This window comes from Homo sapiens, chromosome 7 (assembly GCF_000001405.40).
Source record: "Homo sapiens chromosome 7, GRCh38.p14 Primary Assembly".
Lineage (NCBI taxonomy): Eukaryota > Metazoa > Chordata > Mammalia > Primates > Hominidae > Homo > Homo sapiens.
Window position 1 is genome coordinate 155230362 of NC_000007.14, and position 26049 is coordinate 155256410.

The 26049-nt window shown below is 50.3% G+C and overlaps 1 long non-coding RNA gene across 4 annotated transcripts; it reads right to left on the minus strand.

The window, feature by feature from the left end:
* Positions 1 to 7907: 7907 nt before the first annotated feature.
* LOC105375587 (uncharacterized) lies at positions 7908 to 23745 on the minus strand. Of its 4 annotated transcripts, XR_001745437.2 has the most exons (5): positions 23655 to 23745; positions 21552 to 23171; positions 13204 to 13355; positions 9130 to 9422; positions 7908 to 8472 (listed from the first exon to the last, which is right to left on the minus strand). It is a non-coding gene; the product is annotated as an uncharacterized LOC105375587 (long non-coding RNA). The 4 variants fall into 4 exon arrangements; XR_001745438.2 differs by lacking the exon at positions 23655 to 23745 and having other exon boundaries at positions 21932 to 22073; XR_007060608.1 differs by lacking the exon at positions 23655 to 23745 and having other exon boundaries at positions 13204 to 18508; positions 21932 to 22073.
* Positions 23746 to 26049: the final 2304 nt, after the last annotated feature.

Below are 26049 nucleotides of genomic sequence, written 5' to 3' on the forward strand. Positions count from 1 at the left end.
GGAACCCTGCCATTCTCGGAGGAGGGAGTGTCGTCTGACCAATACGCTGAGGAATGCCAGCTGTCCACAGGCTGCCATCTGATCCCTCACTCACAGAGGAATCCTTTGTGGAGGTCAGAGTCATTGATCATCATAAAAACAGTCACATTCTTGTGATCTTGGCAGTGCCTCACGAAACACAACCTACACCACATCACTCTTGAATGTTGTCTCATAGAAACTTGTGGACGGATTTTATTCTGTATTAAAAATGATAAAATGGAAGGTGTGGCATGTTACATAACTCTGCATCAGCTGCAGACCATCACTTTCTTTCTTTTTTTTTGAGACGGAGTCTCGCTGTGTTGCCCAGGCTGGAGTGCAGTGGCACAGTCTTAGCTCACTGCAACCTCTGCCTCCTGGGTTCAAGTGATTCTCCTGCCTCAGCCTCCCGAGTAGCTAGGATTACAGGCATGTGCCACCATGCCCAGCTAATTTTCATATTTTTAGTAGAGACAGGGTTTTGCCATGTTGGCCAGGCTGGTCTCGAACTGCTGACCTCAGGTGATCCACCCACCTTGGCCTCCCAAAGTGCTGGGATTACAGGCGTGAGCCACCTCGCCCGGCCCAGACCATCACTTTCATGTGTGGTTGCCAAAAAGCCTCAGTCGAAAAGAACATGTAGATTTACCTAAAGGCCCAGGAAAGGGGCCTGTTGAGGTGAATGATGATGGGCCTCCCAAGGGATGGTCCACCGTGCAGCCGTTACAAATCATGCTGGGGAAGGGAATTATGTATGAATCTTAGGTGGAAAAGGTTAGAAAAGATCCTATCTACCAGGAAAAGAAAGAAAACGTGGACTTAATAAGGTCATTATGCCGAGCAGGGGCTTTGGGAATGTGCTTGATCCCTTCACGGCTCTAGAACAGCTATTCCGCCCCAGACTCCCATCACAAAAACCGCATTCGGGGTCTGTTGCCCGCAGCACCCACAGTTATCCCGCCCCAGACTCCCATCACAAAAACCGCATTTGGCATCTGTTGCCTGCAGCACCCCATGGATCACCACACACGGCTGTTTCTTACATTGGCTCAAGTTTCAGGGATGAGTGTGGGCATGAGTGCCACGGGGAACGAGGTGTGCTCGAGCCTCCTGAGCACTACCTGAAGGAGACAGACCGACCAGTCCTCCCAGGTTTCCGTCTCGGCAGCGGCCGTCCATCCGGCTGGCCCGTCCATGCCCATGCCCATGCCCATGCCCATGTACTGGCGATTCCAAAGCTTCATTTTACGTGAAAATCACAGGGGAAAAGTGCAGCTTCCCTGGCCCCTGTTACCAGGGACTCTGATTCTGAGGGACCAGACTGGGAGTAGGTTCCTTCCTTAACAAGTCCTCCGGGATTCAGACGCTGGTGGCCCAGAGGCCACCCAAGAGACACTGCCGGGAGCCGGGCGGGTTCCCCCACATGGCAGGCCAGAGGTCTCACTCTGCACACATCTCTCCTTTCTGCTGTTAGAGTCATTCTTTTGTGGAAACAGCGGCCTGGGCTGGTCCCCATCACTGAGACAGAATCCATAGGCTCAGATGAGGCCTAAACAATGATACACCAGTCTCATCCACTCCACAGCACCGAATTTTCTGAGATTTAACGAGAGCCGACTCACTGGGAATATCTCCGGAGCAAGGAATTAAACGCCTGACCAGAGCCTCAAAGTGGAGGACAGAGGCCTCCACCCCTGGCTGCCCACTGCAGCTGCTTCGGCCAAGTCATGCGACATTTCTGTCTTGACCAGTGGAAACCCATGCAGTTGTTCCCTGTGGTCGAGGGAACAATGGCCCCAGAGACATCCACGTCTGGATCCCTGGAATGCGAGCCTGTGTCAGGTTCCATGGCAGAGGATGATGGTTGCTCATCGGTGGCCTTGAGACGAGAGATTCTCCTGGATCATCCAGTGGGTGAATGTCATCCCAGGTGCTTCTGGTGAGGAGGAAGGGAGAGGAGTCGGAGGAAGGGCTGCGCTGCCAGATACAGTCAGAGAGATGCTGCTGCAGCTGCAAGACAGAAGGGCCCAAGCCCAGTGAGGTGGCCATCCTCCAACCTGGAAAAGGCAAGAAAACGGGGGCTCCCCTGGAGTCCCCAGAAGGATGCAGTGTGCTGACACCTGGCCGTAGCCCAGTGAGACCCGTAGTGGACCTTTGAACCACAGAACTCTCGGATAATAAATTTGTGTTGTCTTAAGCCATTAAGTTTGTGGTAATTTACCATAATAGCAGCAAAAGAAAACTCCCACAGCCCTTGCCCACTTGAGGACCTGCTGCAAAGCTGGGAAGAGGAAGGAGGCAGGAGGCTTCGCTCCGTCCGTCCTTTCTGTTTTAGGGCCTGCACATTTTGTTGTTCCTTCTTGATTTCTATCCTTAATGATCACAGTGATTTGGGGTAATATGAGCATCAAAGTGCTTTTTTGCTGAAGACCTGTTTGCTTGTTGCCAGTTTTATAGTGACCCAATAGAATAAGACCAGTAAATTTATTGATGGCAGAAATTAGCCATGTCCTTAAACGCTTTCACAGGGCAGACAGAGACGTCTTAGTCTTCGTGGTGGAGTTGAGACCGAGGCAGTATCTTCAAAGGTGTATTAAGGTGCCTTTGTTGTCGGCTTTCAACGCCTCCTTTGAAGGACTCGCTCACTTCCCCGGCAGGTGAGTAAGCAGCTCACAGGGACCCCGTGAGCAAAGCCTGCAAGGGGCAGAGCCAGGCTGCAAACCCAGGCCCTGCACACGGCTCTCACGCTTCTGTCACACCACACCCAGAGCATCAGTGCCTCTAATCAACCAACATTTCAGTTCCTACGGTTCAAAATGGGCCTTACAGGACTTCAAAGCATCGATAATTCAGACATTTGCTTGGTAAATCCTCTATCATGGAATATGATGAAGGCAACTTCAGATCAACAAACTGGTGTCTGAATTATCACACATTCTGAAATCAGAGACGTCCAGTGAAAAGAGATTTGTCTAGTAAAAGTAATTCCAGATGTGTAACCCAAAGGACTCGTCTAGGAAGTTCCAGTGGGAAGGACTTTGCTGCTCTCCAGCACGAGTTATTTTCTCCCAGGACTTTTTCAGCCTGCCAGCCGTACACTTCCCAGACATTTCACCAAATGAAGAGAGAAAGGAAAACAAACAAACGAAAAGCTTTCTTTAAGTAGCTTTGAACTTTGCACTAGACAGATCCAAATTCATTGGCTTCTGCACTAAAGCTGTCTCCAAGACATCCCTGTTAGGTTCGTAACTAAATCGCCCACTAATATTTATGCTCTGTCTTAAACAAAGGAAATAGGAGCTGTTGTCAAGGACACGGTGGGGCAGGCAAGGCGAGCCGGTTTCTGGTGCAGACACAGCCCAGAGACAAGCTTCAAAAGGACAGCTCTGCCTGGGCCCTCAGAGACGCGCAGCTGCGTCAGCGTGGACTCTGGGTGGTGCCGGATTGTGGATAATTTGAGGGAATGCACAGCACATTAAGGAGGCTGGGAATGCCGAGGGTCTGGTGGGCCAGGGTCTCTGAGCCCGACGTCCTCTCAGCCACCGTTCAGCCTGACCCAGGACAGGCCTCCACCCTCCCATGCGCTCGACTTCTCACTCAGCAGAGACACGCAGCTTCAGCCAGTGCAGCAGCACCACGCAGCTTCAGCCAGTGGGCAGCACGTGGGCAGCAGGACCACGTGCCCACCAGATGCCTAGTGTGGTACGTCTTGGTCATAAATTAGATCCTTAAACAAAAATGTAAGTATACAAAACCACGGCCTCACCCCAAAACGCCCAGAAGGCAAACACACTCTCAGCCGAATGGCCTTCTGACCGAGAGCCCTTTTGCGGCTGTTACCCCATTTGATGTTTAGAACAATCCCAAGAGGCAGCTGTGGCATGGGCATCAGTCAGGGCTCCACTGGAGGGCACTGAACCACAAGGAACCAGGGCCAGGGCCTCAACCATCCAGCAAGGTGGCCTTGGGGGAACACACGAGGATGACAGCCGGGAGACTTCAGTCCAAGTCTCTGCTCTGTCCCTTCATCCCCAGACCTGGCTTTTCTTATCTGTAAAATACATGGAGGGCCTGCGGTGGTGTAGACACAGCATGAGAACACTGCTTCTCAAGTTTTATTGCATGTTTTTTAAAAGGCAATATCCCAGACCCTATGTCCAGCGTTTTGTTTTGTTTTGTTTTGCTTTTTGACAGAGTCTCACTCTGTCGCCCAGGCTGGAGTGCAGTGGCCTGATCTCGGCTCACTGCAAGCTCCACCTCCCAGGTTCACACCATTCTCCTGCCTCAGCCTCCCGAGTAGTTGGGACTACAGGCGCCCGCCACCAAGCCCGGCTATTTTTTTTGGATTTTTTAGTGGAGACGGGGTTTCACCGTGTTAGCCAGGATGGTCTCGATCTCCTGACCTCGTGATCCACCCGCCTCGGCCTCCCCAAGTGCTGGGATTACAGGCGTGAGCCACCGCGCCCAGCCATCCAAGGGTTTTGATGACTATTTCTGAGATGAAACCTAGAAATCCATATTTTAGCAAGCTTCTAGGCACTTCTGACACAGGTGGTTCAGACTACTGTCAAAACCTGGAAACTTTGGAGAGCAAAAGTGAGGTGATTAATGATTAAACTGGGGCAACAGCATAGCCTGAGGCTGACGTGGGCAAGTTTCAATGGAAGGTCACGCGAGGGCCGGCCATGCTTTCGGAAGACGTTCCTCTGTGTCATTGGAGGAGCAGCGTTGGCTGATCTGGTCAGGGATTGCACTCATGCCTGTCATAAACATCAGAAGAGGGTTTACTGTCAGCTGTGGATTAAAACTCAAAGGCCAGAGATCAGGCTACTGTTCTTCTTCCCCATGAGTGCAAATGCTTTTCCCCTGCATCAGTTGGCTCCAATAGGCTGATTCTTTTAAGGGTCAAAGTCCCACACTCTCCTTTTTATTATTACCCTGTTTCCTAAACGAATAAGAAGCAACAGCACATTTGAGTCACCTTTTATCATCCTAAGATGCCGCTCTTTAGTTTCTCTTTGGGGCACAGCCAACCGTGTCCAATATCCATTCTGCCTGTCCTCCTCAGTAAGGAAAAACCGAGTTTGAGCTCTCTCTGTGGCCATCTGGAATCAAGATTCTGTTTCCCAGCTCCTCATGCAGTGAATTGTGGCCACGTCGAAGTTCAGGACATGGGATGGAAGTAGACTTGGCCTGGGCACCTTCTTGGAAGTGCTCCAAAAGAGAAGGGCATAATCTTTCTTGCCCTCCTTCCTCCCTGTTGGCTAGAATAGGAATGTAAGAGCTGGCACCCTGGCAGCTCTCCTGGGCTATGAGCAACCTTGGGAATGGAATCCAAGCACAGTGGAACAGAGGGCTAAGGAGGAACCCAGTTCCCTGCCCCAGGGGCACGTTTCAGCCAAGGATGTAATGTTTCCAGGCCTCCTAGCTGTGACAGAGAAGTCTTATATCCTTTACACAATGCTGTTAGTTGGAATTATCCTTTGCTTGCTGTCATAACTAATTCTGACAGACACACCTTGCCTGTTCCCTCTTCTGTCAGCCAAGGCTGGGGAACAGAACAGAAAATCACGATGCCGCTGCGGGAGCAAGAGATACCAGGGTGGTCACGGGAAGAGATCCACCGGGGCAGGTTCCCAGAATTCCTTTTCTCCACCATAATTCCACGCATCAGCCATTGTATGAGGCATCTGTCATATAAGCTCAGTCACTGGAGATGAAGGCACTTCACAAATTCAACGCCTTTTGCAAATGTACCCACTGTCTCTCTCAACAGCTGTGCTAGGTGGCCCGGCAGGGACAGTAAATGCACTGGGCGCTGAGATGAAGCTCCCTGTTCACCATTGGCGGGCACGTGCTCGGTGTTTCACTGTGCGTGGAGAATGCCAGGCTGCCATGTAAGCATCTGAAGGAGGCAAAGCGACTCTACCCTATCACCTCCGGGTCCAGCATCACTGAGGATCCCCCCAAGTGTGGCTCCTGTGGTGACACCCAGACTCACCACCTCAAACGACCCCACCTCTGAAACCATCAGCTCTAACTTCACCTCCGTGCTTCTAGGCCCACCGAGGCCCCTAGCACCCCCTCAGCCCACTCTAGCTTCACTTCCTCTCCAGCCTTTCCCAGAGTCCCCGGCCCAGCACCGAGGGCTCTCCTGCACCCTGCCCTGTGCACATCTCCATGCCACACAGGTCTGTTCCGGCACCTGCCCGCCTGCCACCGCCTTACCCTGGTGTTCCCAGAACTCCTAGAGAAAGCTTCAGTCACAAGGGTGCCACTGCCATCCCTGCTCCAGCCCAGGGCTCACGGCGCCCAGCAGTGCTGCTGCCATCCTCAGAGAGCTGTTCTGCCCTCCTGCCCCAGGCTGCCAGGCCTCTGCCCACTTCAGCTGGAGCAACAGGGCTTCCCCTGGTGCACAGAGCTAACGAGAAAGCCAGAGTGAATCCCACATTCAGCCTTCCTACGCCTCTCTCTGTCCCTATGTCTACCTCTGTCTCTCTGTCTCTATCTCTCTCTGTCCCTCTCTGTCTCTGTCCCTCTCTCTTTCTCTCTTGCTTGCTCTGTCTCTCTGTCTCTGTGTCTGTTTCTGTCTCTGCCTGTCTCTCTGTCTCTCTGTCTCTGTCTCTCACACACCCCTCCACTCCACCCTATCTGTGCCCCTCGCCCCTCAGTGGCCCGGGCCCCCCTCTTCTTCTGCTTGTAGCCACCCCCTCCTACCAGCTGGGTCCTGCCCCATTTCCTCCAGGCCCTTGGTCCATTGATTCTCTTTTAACTCTAGCCTATCCCTTTCAATTTATTATTTTTAATAAGCAGAGAAAGATTCCCAAGACTTTAATCTTAAAAAGAAAAGAAAAGAAAAAATTCTAACCTAGAAACACATCCCCCTAAATGTGGCCCTGTGACTCCCTCCCAGCTCAGGCAGCCAATCCTCCAGAAACTCCCCTCAAGGGCTGGCTTCCTCCCGTCTCTGATTTCCTGTCCCTGCAAATCTTCCCCCCAAGGGAGCCAGGGTGCTGCTGGGCACCTCTCTAATGTGCCTTCTCGGTGGCATGAGACACAGCCAGGCACCCTCCCTGAGGGCGGTCTCCTCTATGACTGAGTCTCTCTGGCTTCTTGTCCTGTTTTGCCACCTGCTCTCCTCCTGGCTCTGTCTTCACTGATTCCCTGAAAGCAGAGCCTGAGCCCGAGCTTCTCTCTGCTGCCCACTGGGGAGTCCCAAGGAGGGGTGGGGAAGGCCAGGAGGCTGATTAGGCAAGTATGCAGAGTCGGGGTCCCCAACCGGCCACTGAGGGCTCCAAACACAGCTGGCTGTGCCCTCTCACAGGGCTGAGAGCCCCCATGAGCTACTGAGGCCCAAGGTGGCCCATCAAAAGGACAAAGGGAGGAGAGCTCCTCACCATCCTTAGTCCAAGGCCCACTCCTGGGACTCTTCAGTAGCACCACTGAAGAGTGCTGGGTGCATCCCAAATCCGCAGCAGCAGTGAGCACGGGGCAGAAGCAGCCAGCACCTGGGGCCTGAGGCACATACTGTGTGCTGTGCCCCAGGGCTCCCAAGACCAGATCACCTCGGTGGTGTCTGGGGTGACTTGCGGGGCCAAGAGTCCAGGAGACAAGTGAAGGCTGAAAGGGCCCAGGGCAGGGCCAAGGGGTGTCTCCCCATGAATAGTAACAGGCCCAGGCCCTGCCCCCGTTCTTCCTGCCCATGCTAGTCTCTCAGCTCCACATTCATATGTGCCATCCACAGAGACCTCAGCTTCACATGTCAGAAACTAGGCTCAGGACGGTGGTTCCCACAAAACTTAGAAACAGAAGTGTCAAAACTAGCTCGGTCGGGGAGACCCTAACCCAGCGGTGCTGGAGGAATTAAAGACATACTCACAGAAATATAGACGTGGGAAGTGGGAAATCAGGGGTTTCACAGCCTTCAGAGCTGAGAGGCCCGAACAGAGATTTACCCACGTGTTTATTAACAGCAAACCAGTCATCAGCATTGTTTCTATAGATGTTAAATTAACTAAAAGTATCCCTTACGGGAAACGAAGGGATGGACCGAATTAAAGGAATAGGTTGGGCTAGTTAACTGCAGCAGGAGCATGTCCTTAAGTCACAGATCACTCATGCTATTGTTTGGCTTAAGAATGCCTTTAAGCGGTTTTCCACCCTGGGTGGGCCAGGTGTTCCTCGCCCTCATCCCTGTAAACCCACAACCTTCCAGCCTGGGCATTAGGGGCCATTATGAACATGTTACAGTGCTGCAGAGATTTTGTTTATGGCCAGTCCAGTTTTGGGGCCAGTTTATGGCCAGTCCAGTTTTGGGGCCAGTTTATGGCCAGATTTTGGGGGGCCTGCTCCCAATATGTCCCCCTTCTCTGATTTGCAAATCGATAAAAGCAAAGGCAGCTTTGTCACGGTGAGCTACTTCTTGCAGGAGTCAGGATCCACATCTGCAGACTATACAAAGACAAACAACACAGATTAAAAGCACAATCATCTTTGAAATCACAGAGCTTCCAAGTGTTTTTTCTCCATTTTCAGCTCCTTTGAGCACTCCAGGTTCTGGAATTAAGGTCAGGTGTGCCTGGGATGCTTTAAATATTTGTTCTTTTCATTTTAAATCCTTATGTTAAGCTCCTAGAGCAGCCCATATCATTTGAGGTTGAGGTGCCACTATACCGCCATGGTTCCAGATAATAGGAACTCTTGCCGTACTTCTTACCATTTCTACCATCTGACCGTTTTGTTCAGATCATCTGAACATAGTGTGGCCGTGGCACGCAGACTGAGAGGTGCAGTTCAAGCTAAACATCCCCTTGGGGGACCAATTAATAATGATTCCGCAGGAATCGTTGTGCAGCACCTCTGCCTGTTCTGCAATGCAATCTTCCAAACAAGTACGCTCATTTTTTCTAACTGGTTCCAATCCTGTTTACAAATAGGTTTTTGAGGGTGGTGTGTGTCAATTATAAGAGCAGATTTATTATGGTGAATACTGAGATCAGAAAGCATGTGTAACTGTCAGAGTGATTGCATCCAGTCATTATTGCCAGCCAAGATGGATAAATAAGTAGAACTGTTCTCTGTGTAAGCCCTTATTGAAGGAATACTCACGGCGGTGGTGATAACCGCTATCAGAGCTATCATTAAATTATTCATTGTGACTGGTTGTCCCGCTTTCCTCAGGTTTTCTTCCGCCATCTGTGACAGCTTCCTGTTCTGTCCCCAGGTGGGTGGCTGTGTTCGATGGGTGTTGCTCGTGACAGTTGGGGTCCTCCGCAGCGTCAGTCTTGACATGGCTGCAACCGGGGGTCCTCGGGATCCTCCTGGAATCTCTTCCTCTGCATCTGGCTCATGATAAGGTTTCAGGTGTCTTGATGGTATCCAAATCGGCTGTTGATTTTGGCCTGGAGAAACACAAGCATAACCTCTACCCCAAGTTATTATTTTACCTATTTCCCAACGTTTTGTAATTGGATCTCTCCACCAAACCAGTTGTTCCGCTTTTGTCTTTGCAGCTGGTTTCTGTAAATGCTGTTCAGCTGCTGATAACATCTGGTCTTTGGGCAGGCTCAAAAAATTTAAAGTTAATAATGCTAGGTTCAGTTGCATCTATGGGGTTCCATATACTCTGTCTCCCCCTTTCTGCTTTTGCAACTGCTGTTTTAGGGAAAGATACATTCTTTCCACTATGGCTTGTCCTTGAGAATTGTATGGGATACCAGTAATGTGTTTAATATTCCACAAAGAGAAAAATGTAGCTAGAGTTTGGCTAGGATAGCCTGGGGCATTATCTGTTTTAATAGAAGCTGGAATGCCCATCACTGCAAAACACTGCAAGAGGTGACATTTAACACAGGCAGAAGGCTCTCCTGATTGGCCTGTAGCCCAAAGTGAGAAAAGGTGTCCACACATACATGTACATAAGCTAGTCTCCCAAACGAGGGAAGATGTGTGACATCCATTTGCCAAACAGAGTTAGGTTCCAATCCTCGAGGATTAACTCCTCCTGTAAAAGATGAAGAATGGGCCATTTGGCAAGTTGGGCATCGCTGGATAATAGCTTTAGCTTCTTTCCAGGTAATACTGCATCTGCGTTTGAGACCAGAGGCATTCACATGGGTTAAATTGTGAAAGTGTCTAGCATTTGAGATTGCATTAGCAATTAGGCGGTCAGCCATTTGATTCCCTTCAGCCAAAGGTCCTGGAAAAGGTGTACGAGACCTAATGTGAGTGATGTAAAAAGGGTGCATTCTACTTCTAACTGCTCTTGGCAGTTGGGTAAATAAAGTCATCAGTTGTTCATCTGTATGAAATCGTAACTGAGCACTTTCAATTAACTGTGTGGAATGAACCACGTATGAAGAATCAGAAATCACATTAATAGGCATATCAAAAGCAGTCAATACCTCAATTACAGCTACAAGCTCTGCTTTTTGAGCTGAAGTATAGGGCATCTGGAAAACTTTACTTTTCGAGCCAGAATAGGAAGCTTTACCATTACTAGACCCATCTGTGAAACAATGAAAATGCTTAGCAGGCTGCAGGTTGTTTACTGCAGGAATTGTAAATGCAAACCCTTCACAGTCTTGCTCAGCTAAAGAGATAGTAAAGAAACTGTCTTTTAAATCTATGACTATTAAAGGCCAATTTTTTGGAATTATAGTAGGAGAAGGCAATCCTGGCTGTAATGCTCCCATAGGTTGTGTAACTGAATTAATGGCTCTTAAGTCAGTTAACATTCTCCATTTACCTGATTTTTTCTTAGTTAGGAAAACTGGAGAATTCCAAGGGGAAAATGTTGGAGCTATGTGCCCATTTTCTAATTGTTCGGTAACTAATTTCTCTAAAGCCTCCAGTTTCTCTTTGCTTAGCGGCCACTGTTCTATCCAAATTGGCTTATCTGTTAACCATTTTAAAGGTATAGGTTCTGGAGGCTTAACAATGGCCACCATCAAAAATGATATCCTAATCTTTGGCGGGAACTTTGTTTTTCCACTTGAAGCGGTTCCTTCAAACCTTGCAAATTTTTTCCTGTTCCCATGCCAGGGACATACCCCATTTCATGCATCATATGTTGACTTTGAGGGCTATATAATTGTTCTGGAATTAGAACTTGTGTTCCCCATTGTTGTAATAAATCCCTTCCCCATAAATTTATAGGTACAGAAGTTATAATTGGTTGAATAGTCCCAGATTGTCCATCGGGCCCTTCACAATGCAAAACATAACTACTTTGATATACTTCAGGGGCTTTACCAACTCCAACTATGTTAAATTGAGTGGGTGGAATTGGCCACGCAGACGGCCAGTGCTGTAGAGAAAGGATTGAAATGTCCGCTCCTGTATCTACCAAACCTTTAAATTTCTTTCCCTGAATAGTTATTTCACAGGTAGGACGTTTATCAGTAATTTGATTTACCCAATAAGCCGCGTTGCCTTGTTTATTTGTGCTTCCAAATCCACCTGTTTGTTTAATTTCACTTTTCCCCATTTTCACATACGGCAAAATTAGGAGCTGTGCTATGCGCTCTCCTGGCTTTGCTTTCCAGGGAACAGAAGTAGATATAACAATTTGAATTTCCCCATTGTAATCTGAATCAATGACTCCTGTATGTATTTGTACCCCTTTTAAACTTAAACTAGGCCTTCCTAAAACTAATCCTATTGTCCCCGCTGGCAAGGGTCCACAGACTCCTGTTGGGACCTTTTGCAGGGGTTCCCCAGGCAGAAGACTCACAGCTTTTGTGCAGCATAAATCTACTGCGGCACTACCGGCTGTGGCGGGGGACAGACATTGTACAGGGTTGAGAGAATGGCCTGAGCTGGAAATGCCCCGGTTTAGAATGGAGCCTGGGACGGGCCCCTCATAGCATTTCCTGAAATCGAGTTCCCTTCTTTATCAAACTTAGAGTGACACTCATTAGCCCAATGTTTTCCTTTTTTACATTTTGGACCTATTTCAGGATCAGCAGTTTTCTTTTTCCCCTATCTGGCAGACTGACTTGCTGATTTTTTCTACATTCTTTTTTAGTATGACCATGCTTCCCACAGTTAAAACAAGCTCCAGGAAATGGAGTATTTTCCTTATCCACTCTCAGTCCTGCCATTGCCTGTGCCATCAAAGTAGCTTTATGCAGATTACCTCCAATACCATCACAGGCCTTGATATAATCAACTAAATGTGCTTTCTCTCTGATAGGTCACAGAGCAGCCTGGCAATCGGGATTAGCATTGTCGAAAGCTAATAACTGCAGCACTATATCCTGAGCAGCCGAATCTGCAATCATCTTTTCAAGAGACTCCTGTAACCGAGCTATAAAATCAACATATGGTTTTCTTGGTCCCTGTTTTATAGCACTAAAGGAAGGGTATTGTTTCCCACCTGAAGTGATTTTTTCCCCAGCTCTAATGCACACTCCTCTAAGGTGTTCTATGGCATCATCCTGCATGACCAGTTATGCATCGAAACCAGCCCAGCCGCCAACCCCTAAAAGCTGGTCTGCAGCTATATTAATTCGAGGTTGGGCCTGGGCATTGTGAGCAGCCTGAATGGAAGCTTCATCTGCCCACGAAGTTTTAAATTGTAAGAAATGAGCAGGAGTTAGACAAGCTCAAGTAAGAGCGTCCTCATCAGTAGGAATCATCCTATTGGAAACAGCAACATTCTTTAACTGTCCCATTACCAAAGGAGAACCTGGTCCATACTGATTTATAGCTTGTTTAAATTCTTTGAGTAATTTAAAAGGAAAAGGCTCAAATGTAGCTATATTTCCCATTGATCTGGGGGGTGTATTCTAACAGGGAACTGCCAAGCCTCGAAATCACCCTCTCATTTAGCTTGCTGAATTCCTGCCTGAATAGAACTAAGAGTGGTCACTCAAGGCACTGCTCAAACAGTCACTGGGGCAACTACTTTTCGCCCAGTGTCCTCCAGAAAAGAAAGATCTGGAGGGTCTTTTTCTTCAAAGTAGTAAGGAGGGAGTGCAGAAGGGTAGGGATGAACCTCTCCTTCCTTTGCTGCTTTAGCTTTAGCTGGTAAATAAACATGCTCTGTAACCCCTTCTGTTACTTCACTATACTCTCCTTCCTCATCATCAGTGTGAAAAAGTTCCAAGGTGAAACGAACCAGACCCCACATCTGTCCCATTGTTACCCTGATGCTTCTGAGCTCCCCTTCTTACTCACCACAGGGATTGCTTTAAGAGTACTCGAGTGTCCTCCAGCTAGTTTTCCACTCCAACCATTGTTCTGGCAACCCTTCGACCTGGATTTGAGTCCCCACGATGGACGCCACTTGCTGAGACCAGCTAGGTCAGGGAGACCCTAACCCAGCAGTACTAGAGGAATTAAAGACACACACACAGAAATATAGAGGTGTGAGTTGGGAAATCAGGGGTCTCACAGCCTTCAGAGCTGAGAGCCCTGAACAGAGATTTACCCATGTATTTATTAACAGCAAACCAGTCATTAGCATTGTTTCTATAGATGTTAAATTAACTAATAGTATCCCTTATGGGAAACGAAGGGATGGGTCAAATTAAAGGAACAGGCTGGGCTAGTTAACTGCAGCAGGAGCACGTCCTTAAGGCAGAAATCGCTCATGCTATTGTTTGTGGCTTAAGAATGCCTTTAAGTGGTTTTCCACCCTGGGCGGGCCAAGTGTTCCTTGCCCTCATCCCCGTAAATAGACAAGCTTCTAGCTTGGGCTTTAGGGCCATTATGAACATGTCACAGTGCTGCAGAGATTTTGTTTATGGCCAGTTTTGGGGCCAGTTTATGGCCAGATTTTGGGGGGCCTGCTCCCAACACAGAAGTGCCATGTGACCCCTCAGTTCCACTTCTGGGTCTATCCCCCAAAGGACTGAAAGCAGGGACTCGAGGAGTATGCCCAGCCATGTCACAGCAGCACCATCCACAGCAGCCAAGGGTGGAGGCAACCCACATGTCCATCAGCCAATGAGGAATAAACACAGTGTGCCCCACCCACGTGGAACAACGGATTATTCAGCCTTAAAAAGGAAGGAAATTCGGACACACAGCACAACACGGAAGAGGCTTGGAGTTGTTACACCGAGTGGAGGGAACCAGCCACGGGACTAGCACTGTGTAATCCCACTACGGGCCCCTGGAACAGTCAACCCATGGAGACAGGAAGTAGAGGGGTGGGTGTCAGGGTGGGTGTCAGGGCTGGCAGAGAGGAATGGGGAGCTAGTGTTGAAGCAGGACAGGGCTTACTTTGGCGACGAGAAAGCCCTAGAGAGCCAGTGCAGAACAATGCAAGTATACTCAACTGTAGAGCTGAAAATGATTCAGATGGGAAATTTTCTCATGTGTATTTTACCAAAAATCTTAAAAAACAAAGCTGCACTCATCTCTCCCTCCAGACTTGCCCCTTCTCCGCATGTCTCACTCTTGGATGGCACCTCCATGCTCCTAGTGGCCAGGCCAGGGGTGGGCCATCCTGACTCACTGCCACCCAGCTGGTCCCAAGTCCTGCATCTCCACCCCAGCGGCTGCAGTCCTCCCCCATCCCCAGCGCAGCACCCTTCCCTCCTCACCCAGATCACCCAAAAGCTTCCCAGCAGTTTCCAGCTTCTTGTCTGTTGCCATCCGTGTAGTTACCCCAGCCATCTATAACTTTCTAACGGTTACATCTTACCATATAATTATTTTCTGTTTAAAGCCCTCCTGCAGCCCTCGATGGCCTCAGGATCAAGTTCAAACCCTCAGCAGGGCCCAAGGCCTCTCCATCCCTCCCTCTGCAGGCCCAGCTCCTGGATGCTCCCTCCTCTCACCCATCCCAGGGGCCGGCACTATTCTGCCATCTGCGTAGAGTGCCACCCCTGCCTGCATCAGCTCATCCTCAAAAGCATCTCTGTTCTTAGGGAGAGAACATCCCCAGCCCATTGCCTCTGCAGGTCTGGGTAAGCTCATGATGTCCTCTGCCCGCCTCCATCATGGGGGCTAATTTGCCTTCTATAATGAGGCCTGAGAGGGAGGGCCCCATCCGTCCATTTAAGCTTTGGACACTTGGAGGCTGAAGCAGTGAGGGGGTGAGCCCCATTTTCTCACCCACTCTGAAAGTGCAGGATGAGCCCTCAAATCCAAAGGCCCGGGCATAGCCAGGTGTCTCCTTGGAAGTAAAGATCTTTTTCATGTGACTTAAAAGAAAATTACAAGGCTTCAGAGACCTAATGTGCTCCTAAAATGTGAAAGCCACTCTTGATAATAAGCCTTAAGAAAGCTCGCTCATTTATGAAGCCAAAGGAAAAGAATGGAATTTAAAAGATCTGTGGGTAGAGCTCTTTTGAAAACCTTGATGTATTAGTCCATTCTCACACTGCTAGGAAGAAATTCCCAAGATAGGGTAGTTTATAAAGGAAAGAGGCTTAACTGACTCACAGTTCTGCAGGGCTGGGAAGGCCTCAGGAAACTTACGATCATGACGGAAGGGGAAGCAAACATATCCTTCTTCACGTGGTGGCAGCAAGAAATGCAGAGCGAATGAGGGGAAAGCGCCTTATAAAACCATCAGATCTCGTGAGAACTCACTCAGTATCATGAGAACAGCATGAGGGTATCTGCCCCCATGATTCAATTACCTTCCACTGGGTCCTTCCCACCATGCGTGGGGATTATGGGAACTAGAGTTCAAGATGAGATTTGGGTGGGGACACCACTAAACCATCTCATTCAATGAGAAGGGAAAAAAGTGAATGATGTTATTTAGGTATCTGTTCATGTATTTAACGAGCATGTGTTGAGCACCAAGTGTATGCCAGGAACAGAGGCTCCTGCAGGCAGTTTCCTGATTTCAGGCACTAATGACGTGACTTGTTTCAGCACAAATTTATCAAAGGCTTCTGTGTTCTGATCACCTGGGTGTAGAACAACACTCAAGGCAAAGTCATTGCTTTCGTAGTTTTGAGTTTTTATCCGCTAAGGAAGTATGACAATATAAAATAAGATTTAGTAAATAATTTCATTCAATTGCAGATGGTAATCAGTGGTGTGGAAGAAAAAAATAAGGTGAGGTGAGTGCGTGAGCGGGTGGGAGACCCTCACTGAGTAAATGGCTTTGGAGCTAGCTAGAATCAAATAATGTGAATAAAGCCATTTTTAATGGCAGGGAACGAGGGTTCTAGGCAGAGGGAAACCCACATGCACAGGCGATGCCAACCTTGTCACGTCTGGGGAGCAGGTGGGGCTGCGTGGTGTGGGCCCATCGCCCACGCCGAGGCTTTGGGATTTGTTCTGGGGAAGCTGGGAGGCCAAGAGAGAGCTTGGGGCTTAGGGCAGAGCAGTGTTAGGCCCTGATTTGTGTTCCAAGCTCACTGGCTGCTCTGTGCAATAGAGGACGGGAACGGCTGCAGCAGGGAGCCCACCAGAGGCTGTCTGCACACTCCAGGTGAGAGTGATGCCCAGGGGCTTAGCACGGCGAGGAGAGGCCCCATCCAGGTGTGTTTTGAAGAAAGAGACAGTCCTGCTGCTTGGTTTGGATATGCAGCATGGGGGGGCATTGAAGAGTAAATAAATGATGCTTTTCAGGTGCTGCCTGAGCAACTGGGCAAAAGGCAGTGCCATTTACTTGGACATGAGAACCTAGGGAAAGTCGGGCTTCTGTTTTGTACAGTTGAAGAGGCCTTTGGATATCAAGTGGAGACGCACCGTTAGTTACAGAGTCAAGTCCGGAGTTCCAGGCTTGTAGACTGCAGACGCTGCGAAAGATGGCATTGAAGCCTTGGAAAAGACAAGAGTGTGTGGAGGGAGTGTGATCGCTGGACACCCTTCCGCAGGGCGTAGGAACACAGGCCCCTGGCAGTTGCAGATGCACAGAAATGATGGTATTGGAACTGGGTCAAGAAGAACACGAGATCTTTAGCAAGTGGAGTTGCGACAAGGTGCTGCGGGCAGATGGAAGGCTAAGCGGAGGCGGGACGAATAAGATGTATATTCCACGTGTAAAATATCTGGAAGCTTAGCATGACTGGAATGTTCCGGAGAGACCTAAGGGATGTATGCCCCCCTAGGGAGTGTCACCTTGATTCCACAGCCAGTGGAGTACCAGGGACATCTTCAGTTTTGTTTCTTAATTGACACAGAGCATGGTGGACCTGTTAGCATCTTGTTCAAAGATTGCCAGTTACATGTTGACTCTTGCTCAAAGAGGAACGCACACAGGCACATGTACTGCACACCCCAGAATCTTCAGCATAGTGTGAATCCTGTGAAGTGAAGCTCTCTGTCTTTGGGTTAAATATCTGCCTTTAGGAGATTTAAATGCTGAGTCACAGTCGTGAAATTCTTGACTCGATTATATGGAATTGACTTATATGAGGCATCTGGAAATTTCTTTTGAGAGGTCAGTAGCAGAAAAATAAAAAAGCATTCTCTGTTTCCCATGATTCATAAACCCATTAGCAATTCTCTGTAAACTGCTCAGAAACCAGAGATGAGCAGTGAGTTCCTGAGCCACCCAGCGAGGGGCTGAGGGGCTCAGGACACCTTCCCAGGCCCAGCTCCAATCTGGGGTGAGGCTCCCGGACAGGGGCCCTTCCTCTCCATCTCCTCAGTGGTCCCCTGTCCTCAGGGCCACGTTGGGACTGCCCCATGCTGGGGCTGTCCCGCAGGCTGGCCCGGGTGCTATTCACCTGCTCACCCTCACAGCTCAGCAGCATGTGCTGCCTTATGACATCAATGTCTCTGTCCCATGGGGCCTCACAGAGCTCCCCAAGAACTCCGTGTTTCCCGATGAAGGGATCAAAGACCCAGAAAAGTGACTGGCAGTCCAGGGCCCCAGATGTCCTCAGCTCAGGGCTGGACACCCGGTGCTGCCTGGGCTCTGTGTCCATCCATAAGCACGTCCCAGACCCTCTTACCTGCCAGGGGCCCTCTTTGTGGGGGACCCTACAGGCAGGACAGTCGGGAAGGTTCCTGCCTTCAGGCAGCTTCTCGCATAGTGGGAAGACAGACCAGAAAAGAAAAGAAACACACAGTGAGGCCTCAGAACTGTGGGCATAGGGAGAATGTGCGTCCCTGAGGGCATCTCACCTGGCTCTGGAGACCCTGTGCATGGGGCAGCTTCTCTGAGGGGACATGATTGAAACTAGGCCAGGACGACAAATCTGACCAGAGCCCAGGGTTGGAAGAGGTGGTGAGCAACGAGGCTGGAGACACTGAGCCCAGCTGCTCTGGGTCTCTCGCAGACCTGATATAGCAGGGACACAGTGTCCATGCCCAAGGTGCCGGTGCTCCGTGAGGATGGCTGGCCCACTATGGACATCTCCCGAGCCTGCCGTGTGCTTCACAGGGTGAGGATAGGGCTTCAGGGGTCGCACACATCAGCTCAGCCTCCATAACAACGTCCCACAGACTGGGGACTCACACAAGAAGTTCATTCTCTCATGTTCTGGAGGCTGGAAGTTCAAGACCAAGTCTAGCAGGGTTGCTGCCCTCTGAGGCCTCCTGTATTCATCAGTCGGTTTTCATGCTGCTAATAAAGACATTCTTGAGACTGGGTAATTTATAAAAGAAAGAGGTTTAATGGACTCACCGTTCCACATGTCTGGGAAGGCCTCACAATCATGGCAGAAGGTGAACGAGGGGCAAAGACACGTCTTCCATGGTGGTAGGCAAGAGAGCTTGTGCCGGGGGAACTCCCCTTTATAAAACCATCAGATCTCGAGAGACTGATTCACTACCATGAGAACAGCATGGGTGAAGCAGCCCCATGATTCAGTCATCTCCACCTGGCCCCAACCTTGACGCATGGAGATTATTACAATTCAAGGTGAGATTTGGGTGGTGACACAGTCAAACCCCATCCCCTCCTTCTTCAGCTGGTAGATGGCATCCTCTCCCTGCATCCTCACAGGTCTTCCCACTGCGTGTGTCTGTGTCTAACCTGCCCTTTGCATATTGCACTAAGGTCCACGCATATGACCCCAACTTAACTCAGTCGCCTCTTGGAAGACCCCATCTCCAAATACATTCTGAGGTCCTGGGGATTAGGATTTCCACAGACAGATTTGAGGAGATGCGATTCAGCCCATACCAGGTGTTACATGGTTTTAACCCACCCACAAACCCTGCAAGACCTTCAAGCTTGACTCTCCAGGGGTCGAAGGGGATGCATCTTGCCCTAATTCACTCAGCCAGAAGTGGCCGGGTCACCTCTCATTCCCCAGTGACACGTTTTCCTTCCACGTCCACAGCAGCTGAAATGTCCTGGCAGTAACCTGAAAGACAGTGAGTAAAGGGCCCTGGGAGCCCCGTGGTTCAGTGTCGCCCGGGTGCTGAGGAGAATGTGAGGAAACCCAGGAGAGGTTCCCTCCACTCAGGACGGGTGCAGTAGTGTTGGGCTGTTGTTCTAACACCCAGGGGATAATTGGGCGCTGTTCCAGTCTCTATCCTAAAGAACATGGAAGGAACTCAACCTCAAGATTCAAGATTCCTTAAAGATTCCCCCAGCCACCTCTGGGACAGCAAGGACAGGGAGGGGAAGGGAGGCCCTGCTGTTCCTGGAGGCAGCTGTGTCCCTGCCTTCCCTGGAGTTGCATCAATTTTCCAATAAATTTCCCCTGCTACCAACATGAATTAGGTTGTATTTCTTCTATTTGCACCCAAGAGAGAACAGTCGCTGATGTAGGCTTTTCTCAGGTAACGAAGGTAAGATGACTGTGACATGGTTTCTTTCCATTGCACAGCCACGGCCTGTGTCTTTCAGGGTCTCAAAACCCTCCAGGGAGGGGGTAGCGGCTGGGGCCACCCTTACCCAGCCTTCCAGCTCCTTAGAAGTACAGCAGAGAGGTGGCCAGGTGCGGTGGCTCACACCTGTAATCCCAGCACTTTGGGAGGCCACGGTGGGCAGATCACCTGAGGTCACGAGTTCAAGACCAGCCTGGCCAACATGGTGAAACCCTGTTTTTACTAAAAATACAAAAATTATTCGGGCATGTTGGTGGGTGCCTGTAATCCCAGCTACTTGGGAGGCTGAGGCAGGAGGATCACTTAAGCCCAGGAGGTGGAGGTTGCAGTGAGCCGAGATCCTGCCACTGCACTCCAGGCTGGGTGACACAGCGAGACTCCATCTCAAACAAACAAACAAACAAACAATAAAGAAGTGCAGCATGGAGGTGTCCTGAGTCAGAGACCCCGCAGACCCATCAGTACAGTTTTCTCCAGCAGGAGGAAGGGCTGCCATAAGAGTCGCAACCCCACAATGGAAGGAGCCCCTTACAGGTGGGCGGAATGGGAGCTGTCAGAGCCCAAGGGCTCCTGTCACCAGCTGCTCTCCCCTTGTTCGACCTTTGCCCTGTTTGGGGCTGAATGGTGTCTCCTCCTCTCCACATTCCTATGATGAAGCCCTGGCCTCCAGCACCTCAGAAGGTGACTTTACTTGGAAATAGGGCCATGCAGGTGTAATTAGCTAAGAAGGGTCATCCTGGAGGAATGCATCCCCTAATCTGACTGCTCCTTATGAAAAGAATACCCTGTGGAGAGAAAAGGGTGCATATGGAGGGAAGACCAAGAACAAGACACAGGAAAAAGGCCATCGCTAAGCCAAGGGGCCAAAGATGGTCAGCAGCCCACCAGGGAGAGAGGCCTGGGGCCAATTCCCCCTCACTGCCTCCAAAGGAGTCAACACTGAGGATCTTGACCTGGTCTCGGACTTCCAGCCTCCAGAACTGTGGGGCTGTCCATCCTGTTGTTTAACCTGCTGGTCTGTGGTGCTTTGTGGCTCCCATGACAAGCTCCCAGCATCCTCTCCCTCTCCTGGACTGGGGTTAGGTCTCTTGTTTGCAATCCATCTCTCTCCACCACCTGCCCTGGGGCACTGGAAGGCAGATGGCACAGGATAAATAGGCATGGGAGGGAAGGGGTGGGATGCTAGTGGGAAAGAAAGAATTAGGATGAATCTATACAAGAGGGAAGTCAAAAGGTGGGGACCCAGGCTCAGAGCATCTCAGCAACAGAAGTCACAAAAATATCAAAAGGAGGGTGAAGAAGCTGGGCTTGGTGGCTCACACCTGTAATCCCAGCATTTTTGGAGGCCGAGGCAGGTAGATCACTTGAGGTCAGGCGTTCAAGACCAGCCTGACCAACATGGTGAAACCTACTAAAAATACAAAAATTAGCTGGGCATGGTGGCACAGGCCTGTAGTCCCAGCTACTCAGGAGGCTGAGGCAGAGAATCGCTAGAACCTGGGAGGTGGAGGCTGAGGTGAGCCGAGATCATGACACTGCACTCCAGCCCACGTGACAGAGTGAGACTCCATCTCAAAAAAAACAAAAACAAAACAAACAAAAGAAAGGTGAAGAGACTCCAGAAGGCAGGTGGCTTAGCAAACTCTCAGCTGCCGGTCTTGTGCCTCTCCGTTCCATGGCCTCAGGGTGGGGCAGAGGTAAATTGCAATCCCTGGACAGGCTTGGATCCACAGTCGACCCAACGTGAACACAGGCTGCGATTCCATGGTCTCTGGTGACCACATGTCCTCCTGGTCCCCTCCCTGATGGAGCACCTTGTATCCTACCTCCACTGCCCACTCGCTCTCTCAGGTCCAGCCAAGTCCTCTGACAGAGGTAGTGTGACCTAGGGAGTCTCCGGAATGGCACAATCTCTCCCAGGGGGTGTTCCCATGGTGCACAGGGCAAGGTTATCCAAGTTCCAAGAAAACATTCTGTTTGTGGACCTGACTTACCGGAGCACATGAGTGAAAGCAGATAGGAATAAGCAGATCACGGCTCAGCTCCGGGTGCGGGGTGGAAATCAGGGTTAACCAGAGGGCAATGGGAGAAAATGATGTGGGGCACTCATTTAAATTATCTGCAGGACTCTGTATCATGAAGATAAACTTATTGCAGCCCTAGCTCATGTTTCCAGAGCAGAGTCCTGAGGAGAAGGAGCACTTACCAAGGACGAATGGGTCACTGCGTGGTCTGCAAATAGCATCTGGAAAACAAGAAGCTGGGACCTTGGAAACAGCAAGAGTCAGAGTTGGTCGGGGAGCTTGCCCTGGACACAGTGGGCTTCAGTCTAGAAGACACCGAAAGACAGAGCGAACTCCCTCCTCCTACAAACTGTTCACACAGTGGGAAGGAGGACGGGGTTTAGCAACACGCTGTCTCAAAAATGTGCACTGTCAGGCAAATATGTGCTTGTAACACCAGCCCTGGAGAGGAAAGTCTCTCTGGGCTTCGGTCCCTAACCTTTACCCTAAACATTAATATATCAATCGGCAGCGGCCCTGGAGAAGTTGCTGATGGCATCAGAGAATGAGGGCATTCACTAAGCTGTCACAGCAGACCCAGATGCAGTGGCGGAATTAATTTTTCCTTCATTAATCATATCCTAATTTGCATGATTAATATGTCATAGTTGATGAACACGGGCGGATACAAATAAAATCACTGAACAAAAATGCCACCTGCTGAGCAAAAAGAATAAGACAAACAAGTGAGTTGGCACAGCTAAATGAGCAGGAGTCACTTTATTTCCCAAAAACAATATTCCAAAAGCTTGAAACAATGCCACTATTGGGGCCGCTTGCCGAGGACTGTGGAGACAGACATTCCCAGAGTTTTCCACGGTGGGATGAGCTCCAGGGTACACACAACTGTCACAGCTTGCCATTGGACAATTCTAAAAACTCACCTTTCGAACCTCGCCTGTTTCCCAAGCGGAACCCAGGCCAAGGGGCGGGATGTTCCAGGACAAAGTGGTGCCACCTCGTCAGCCCAGGCCCACTTCCTCCAGCTACGAACCTCAGCCATTTCTGGCCAGCGGCTCTGGGGCAGAAACTGGGGCAGGGCATTGCCAAGGACACAAGCAAGGGGAGCGGAGGAGGAGAGGAAGCAGGGAGCGACCGTGGAATGGCCTCGGACCTGGGGCAGAGCCTTCGGGATGCTGGAAGCTGCTCAGGGGCCGTGGCTGAGGCCCAGGCAGCCACCAGGGGGGACTCCGACTGGGGTCCAGGGGCAGGCAATGCCCAGCCTCCCTGGAGCGTGGGTTTCCTTCAAGGCCACGTGGCAGAAGCAGCCACAGGAGAAGCAGCGCAGTTTTCCGCAGCGGTGGGAATGTCCTAGACCTGGCACATCCCGACAGTAGTCACTGGCACACGTGGCAGTGGAACACATGAATGTGGCCAGGGCGGCTGAGAAGCAGACATTTTCATTTCATTTTAATTAATTTAAATTGAAAAACCCACGTAGGGCTAGTGGTCCCTGGCGGGCAGCTGAAGGGAGTGTGGGGACCACAGCACTTCCCTGGCTGTGGGACCTGGAGAGGTATTCCTCCTTTGCAGCTCCGTCCTCCTCTGAGGCTGAGGGGTTGGATGGGGGCATCCCTGGAGCCCCCAGTCTGCACTTCCTGACTGGAGTGTGGAAGGCGCCTGCTCTGTTTGTTTCCACTATCCTTCCACAACCTTCACTGTCTCCCTCCCCTCTGCTTACCGAAAACTGCCTCCTGCCAGACTAAGTTCCTGGCCCCTCACTTTCCAGCCGCATCCCCCACGTCTCTACCACGTGAACAGACCCTCAGCCCTCAAACACACCTGTGCCTCCCACACCACCCCGTACCTTGTCTGTGCCATTCCCCATGGCTCTTCCCCACCCACTCAATACTGATGGAGACCCACCTCAAGCCTGATGTTCTGGAAGCTTCCCAGAGCTCCATGGCCCACAGGCTTCTCACTCCCCCACCATTTAGAAGGAACCCAGCCTCTGGCTGTGGTAGCTTGCAGGGCAGTCCTCTTTATCTCACTGTTACTTGATAGCAACAATGTTGCAATGTCTTGGAAACTGTGTAACAACCTGGCAAGGCTGAGCACACCTGCCCACAGAGCGGGGAGGTGCGCAGCCTGTCCTCAACGCCAACTAGCAGGGCGGCCTGAGGAGGTGACTGCATCTCCTCATGGTCTCCTCACCGGAAACATGAGGATCATGCTGCTTCCTTTTGGGGTTCATGTAAGAGCCAGGCGCTCACCTGTGCCAAACGCCCTGCCCGCCCTGGCCTGGGTTCAGGGTTTTCAATCCATGCTGTGCTCCCTAAAAGACAGGCCACTCCTCTGCTCTCCAGCACCTGAGGAAACGTTGTTGCTGGTTGCAGGATTCCTTAGTCTAATCCTAACACCTCAGTGGCTTCATCCTGGCCTCATGCATTGTGCTGGAGCCTGGTTTCTGGTGCAGGAAAGTTGTAAGAATGCGTTCCCTGCCATCTCGTTTCTATTTTGAACTATCTGGCCCAAACCCTTTTCTTTAGTTTTCTCCTCTTCCCTTGGGGAAAAAGAAAAGGAGAAAAAAGGAAAGAAAAGGACAAAAAAGAAATGGAGAAGAGAAGCAAGACAGAGGCTGCTCTGAAATGGTTTCTGCACCTTCTCCAATACAAAGGGCAGTAAGATTGAGTAGGATGAGACAGCTATGACTTCCTATTCCCTTTTCCCAGCCCCCAGGCTAAAAAATATGGTGGGTCTGAGGTTCTACTCCCCAACCCCGGCCAACGCTCAAGCCTAGACAAGAGTTGGATGCTCCACGGGAGTAACGTGAGACCCAGGAAGGCCACGTCTCATTTTAACTTCCTCTCCTCTATTCCATACCACAATCTCCGGGGAGCTTCAATGGATGGAGAAAGTTCTATGCCTGCAAGAACTGAATTTACCATCAGTGCCTTCATATTTGTGATAACCTTGTTTTCCCGTTCCTTCAGGGATGCTGCGCTGAGTGAAGATCTTCATGAATACCGTGTGTGAGGCAAGTAAAAGCGGCTCCTTGTGGCTCATTCGCTGCATAAGGTCCCATTCAGAGACTCAAATCCAGAAACTAAACATCATTGAAAAGGAATCCTAACCTCTGGTGCTCCTAACCAGGAGCCGCATTTCTCTAGGACCTCTGCCTTGGCCTTTCCAGCGCCCTGTGCCCACAGCGGCCCTGCTTGAGCCAGTCATAAGCAAGGCCCCCAGCTCCTCCCCAGCCCCGTCCCTCTGGGCTCTTCTATTTCCCCGCCCAGAGGAAAACATTCCCAGCTATACAGAAGCAGATGGGATGGGGGTTACCAGGGAGGCTCCAGAGAAATGGGGAGATGCAGGTCAAGGGGAGAGAGTCGCAGTGAGGTAGGAGGAATCAGTCCAGAGGCTGGCTCGCAGGAAGATCGCAGTTCACAGCACTGCAGCACACCCCGGGACTTCACCAGGAGAGTAGATTTTAGACTCTCTTACCACCAAAATGATGAAGAAAAAGAAGAAGAAGAGGAAGAGGAAGAGGAAGAAGAAGAAGAAGAAGAAGAAGGGGAAAGGGGAAGGGGAAGGGGGAGAGGGAGGGGGAGGGGAAGAAGAAGGGGAAGAGGAGGAAGAAGAGGAAGAAGAGGAGGAGGAGGAGGAGGAGGACCGGGCGGTGATGGATTTGAGAACTTGCCTGACTGTCTTAATCACCATGTCTATGGATATCAACACAGCAGGTCATAAATGTTAAAAATCACGTCCACCCTTAAACATATGCATTTCTTAAAAAGGAAATGCGTCACCAGCCACATGTGTGAGTCGAAATTATCTCATAGACACATTTGTAAAAAGTAAAAGAAGGATGAAACTTAATATTATGCTTTAACCGAGTACATCCAAAATATCAATGAATTACTTATAAGATACATTACTTTTTTTTTCTAAGCAGCCTTCGAAACGCCGTGTGCCTCTTCCACTTGACAGCATGTCTCCATTTGGACTGGCCACATTCTCAAAAGCCGCAAGTGGCTGAGGACTGCCACGGAGGCCACACAGCTCCAGTCCATTCTACTGGTTGTTATGAGTTCAGTGTTAGTGCCGCCCCCACCCCCCAAAATTTGCATGTTGAAGTCCTAACCCCCAGTGTGATGGGCTTGGACATGGGGACGTCAGGAGATAATCAGGGTTCGGTGCAATCCTGGTGATACAACCCTCGTGCTGGGACGAGTGCCCTCATGAGAAGAGGCCAGAGGACTTGCTCTCCTGCCACGTAAGGACACAGTGAGAGGGTGGCCGTCTGCAGCCCAGGAAGACCCTG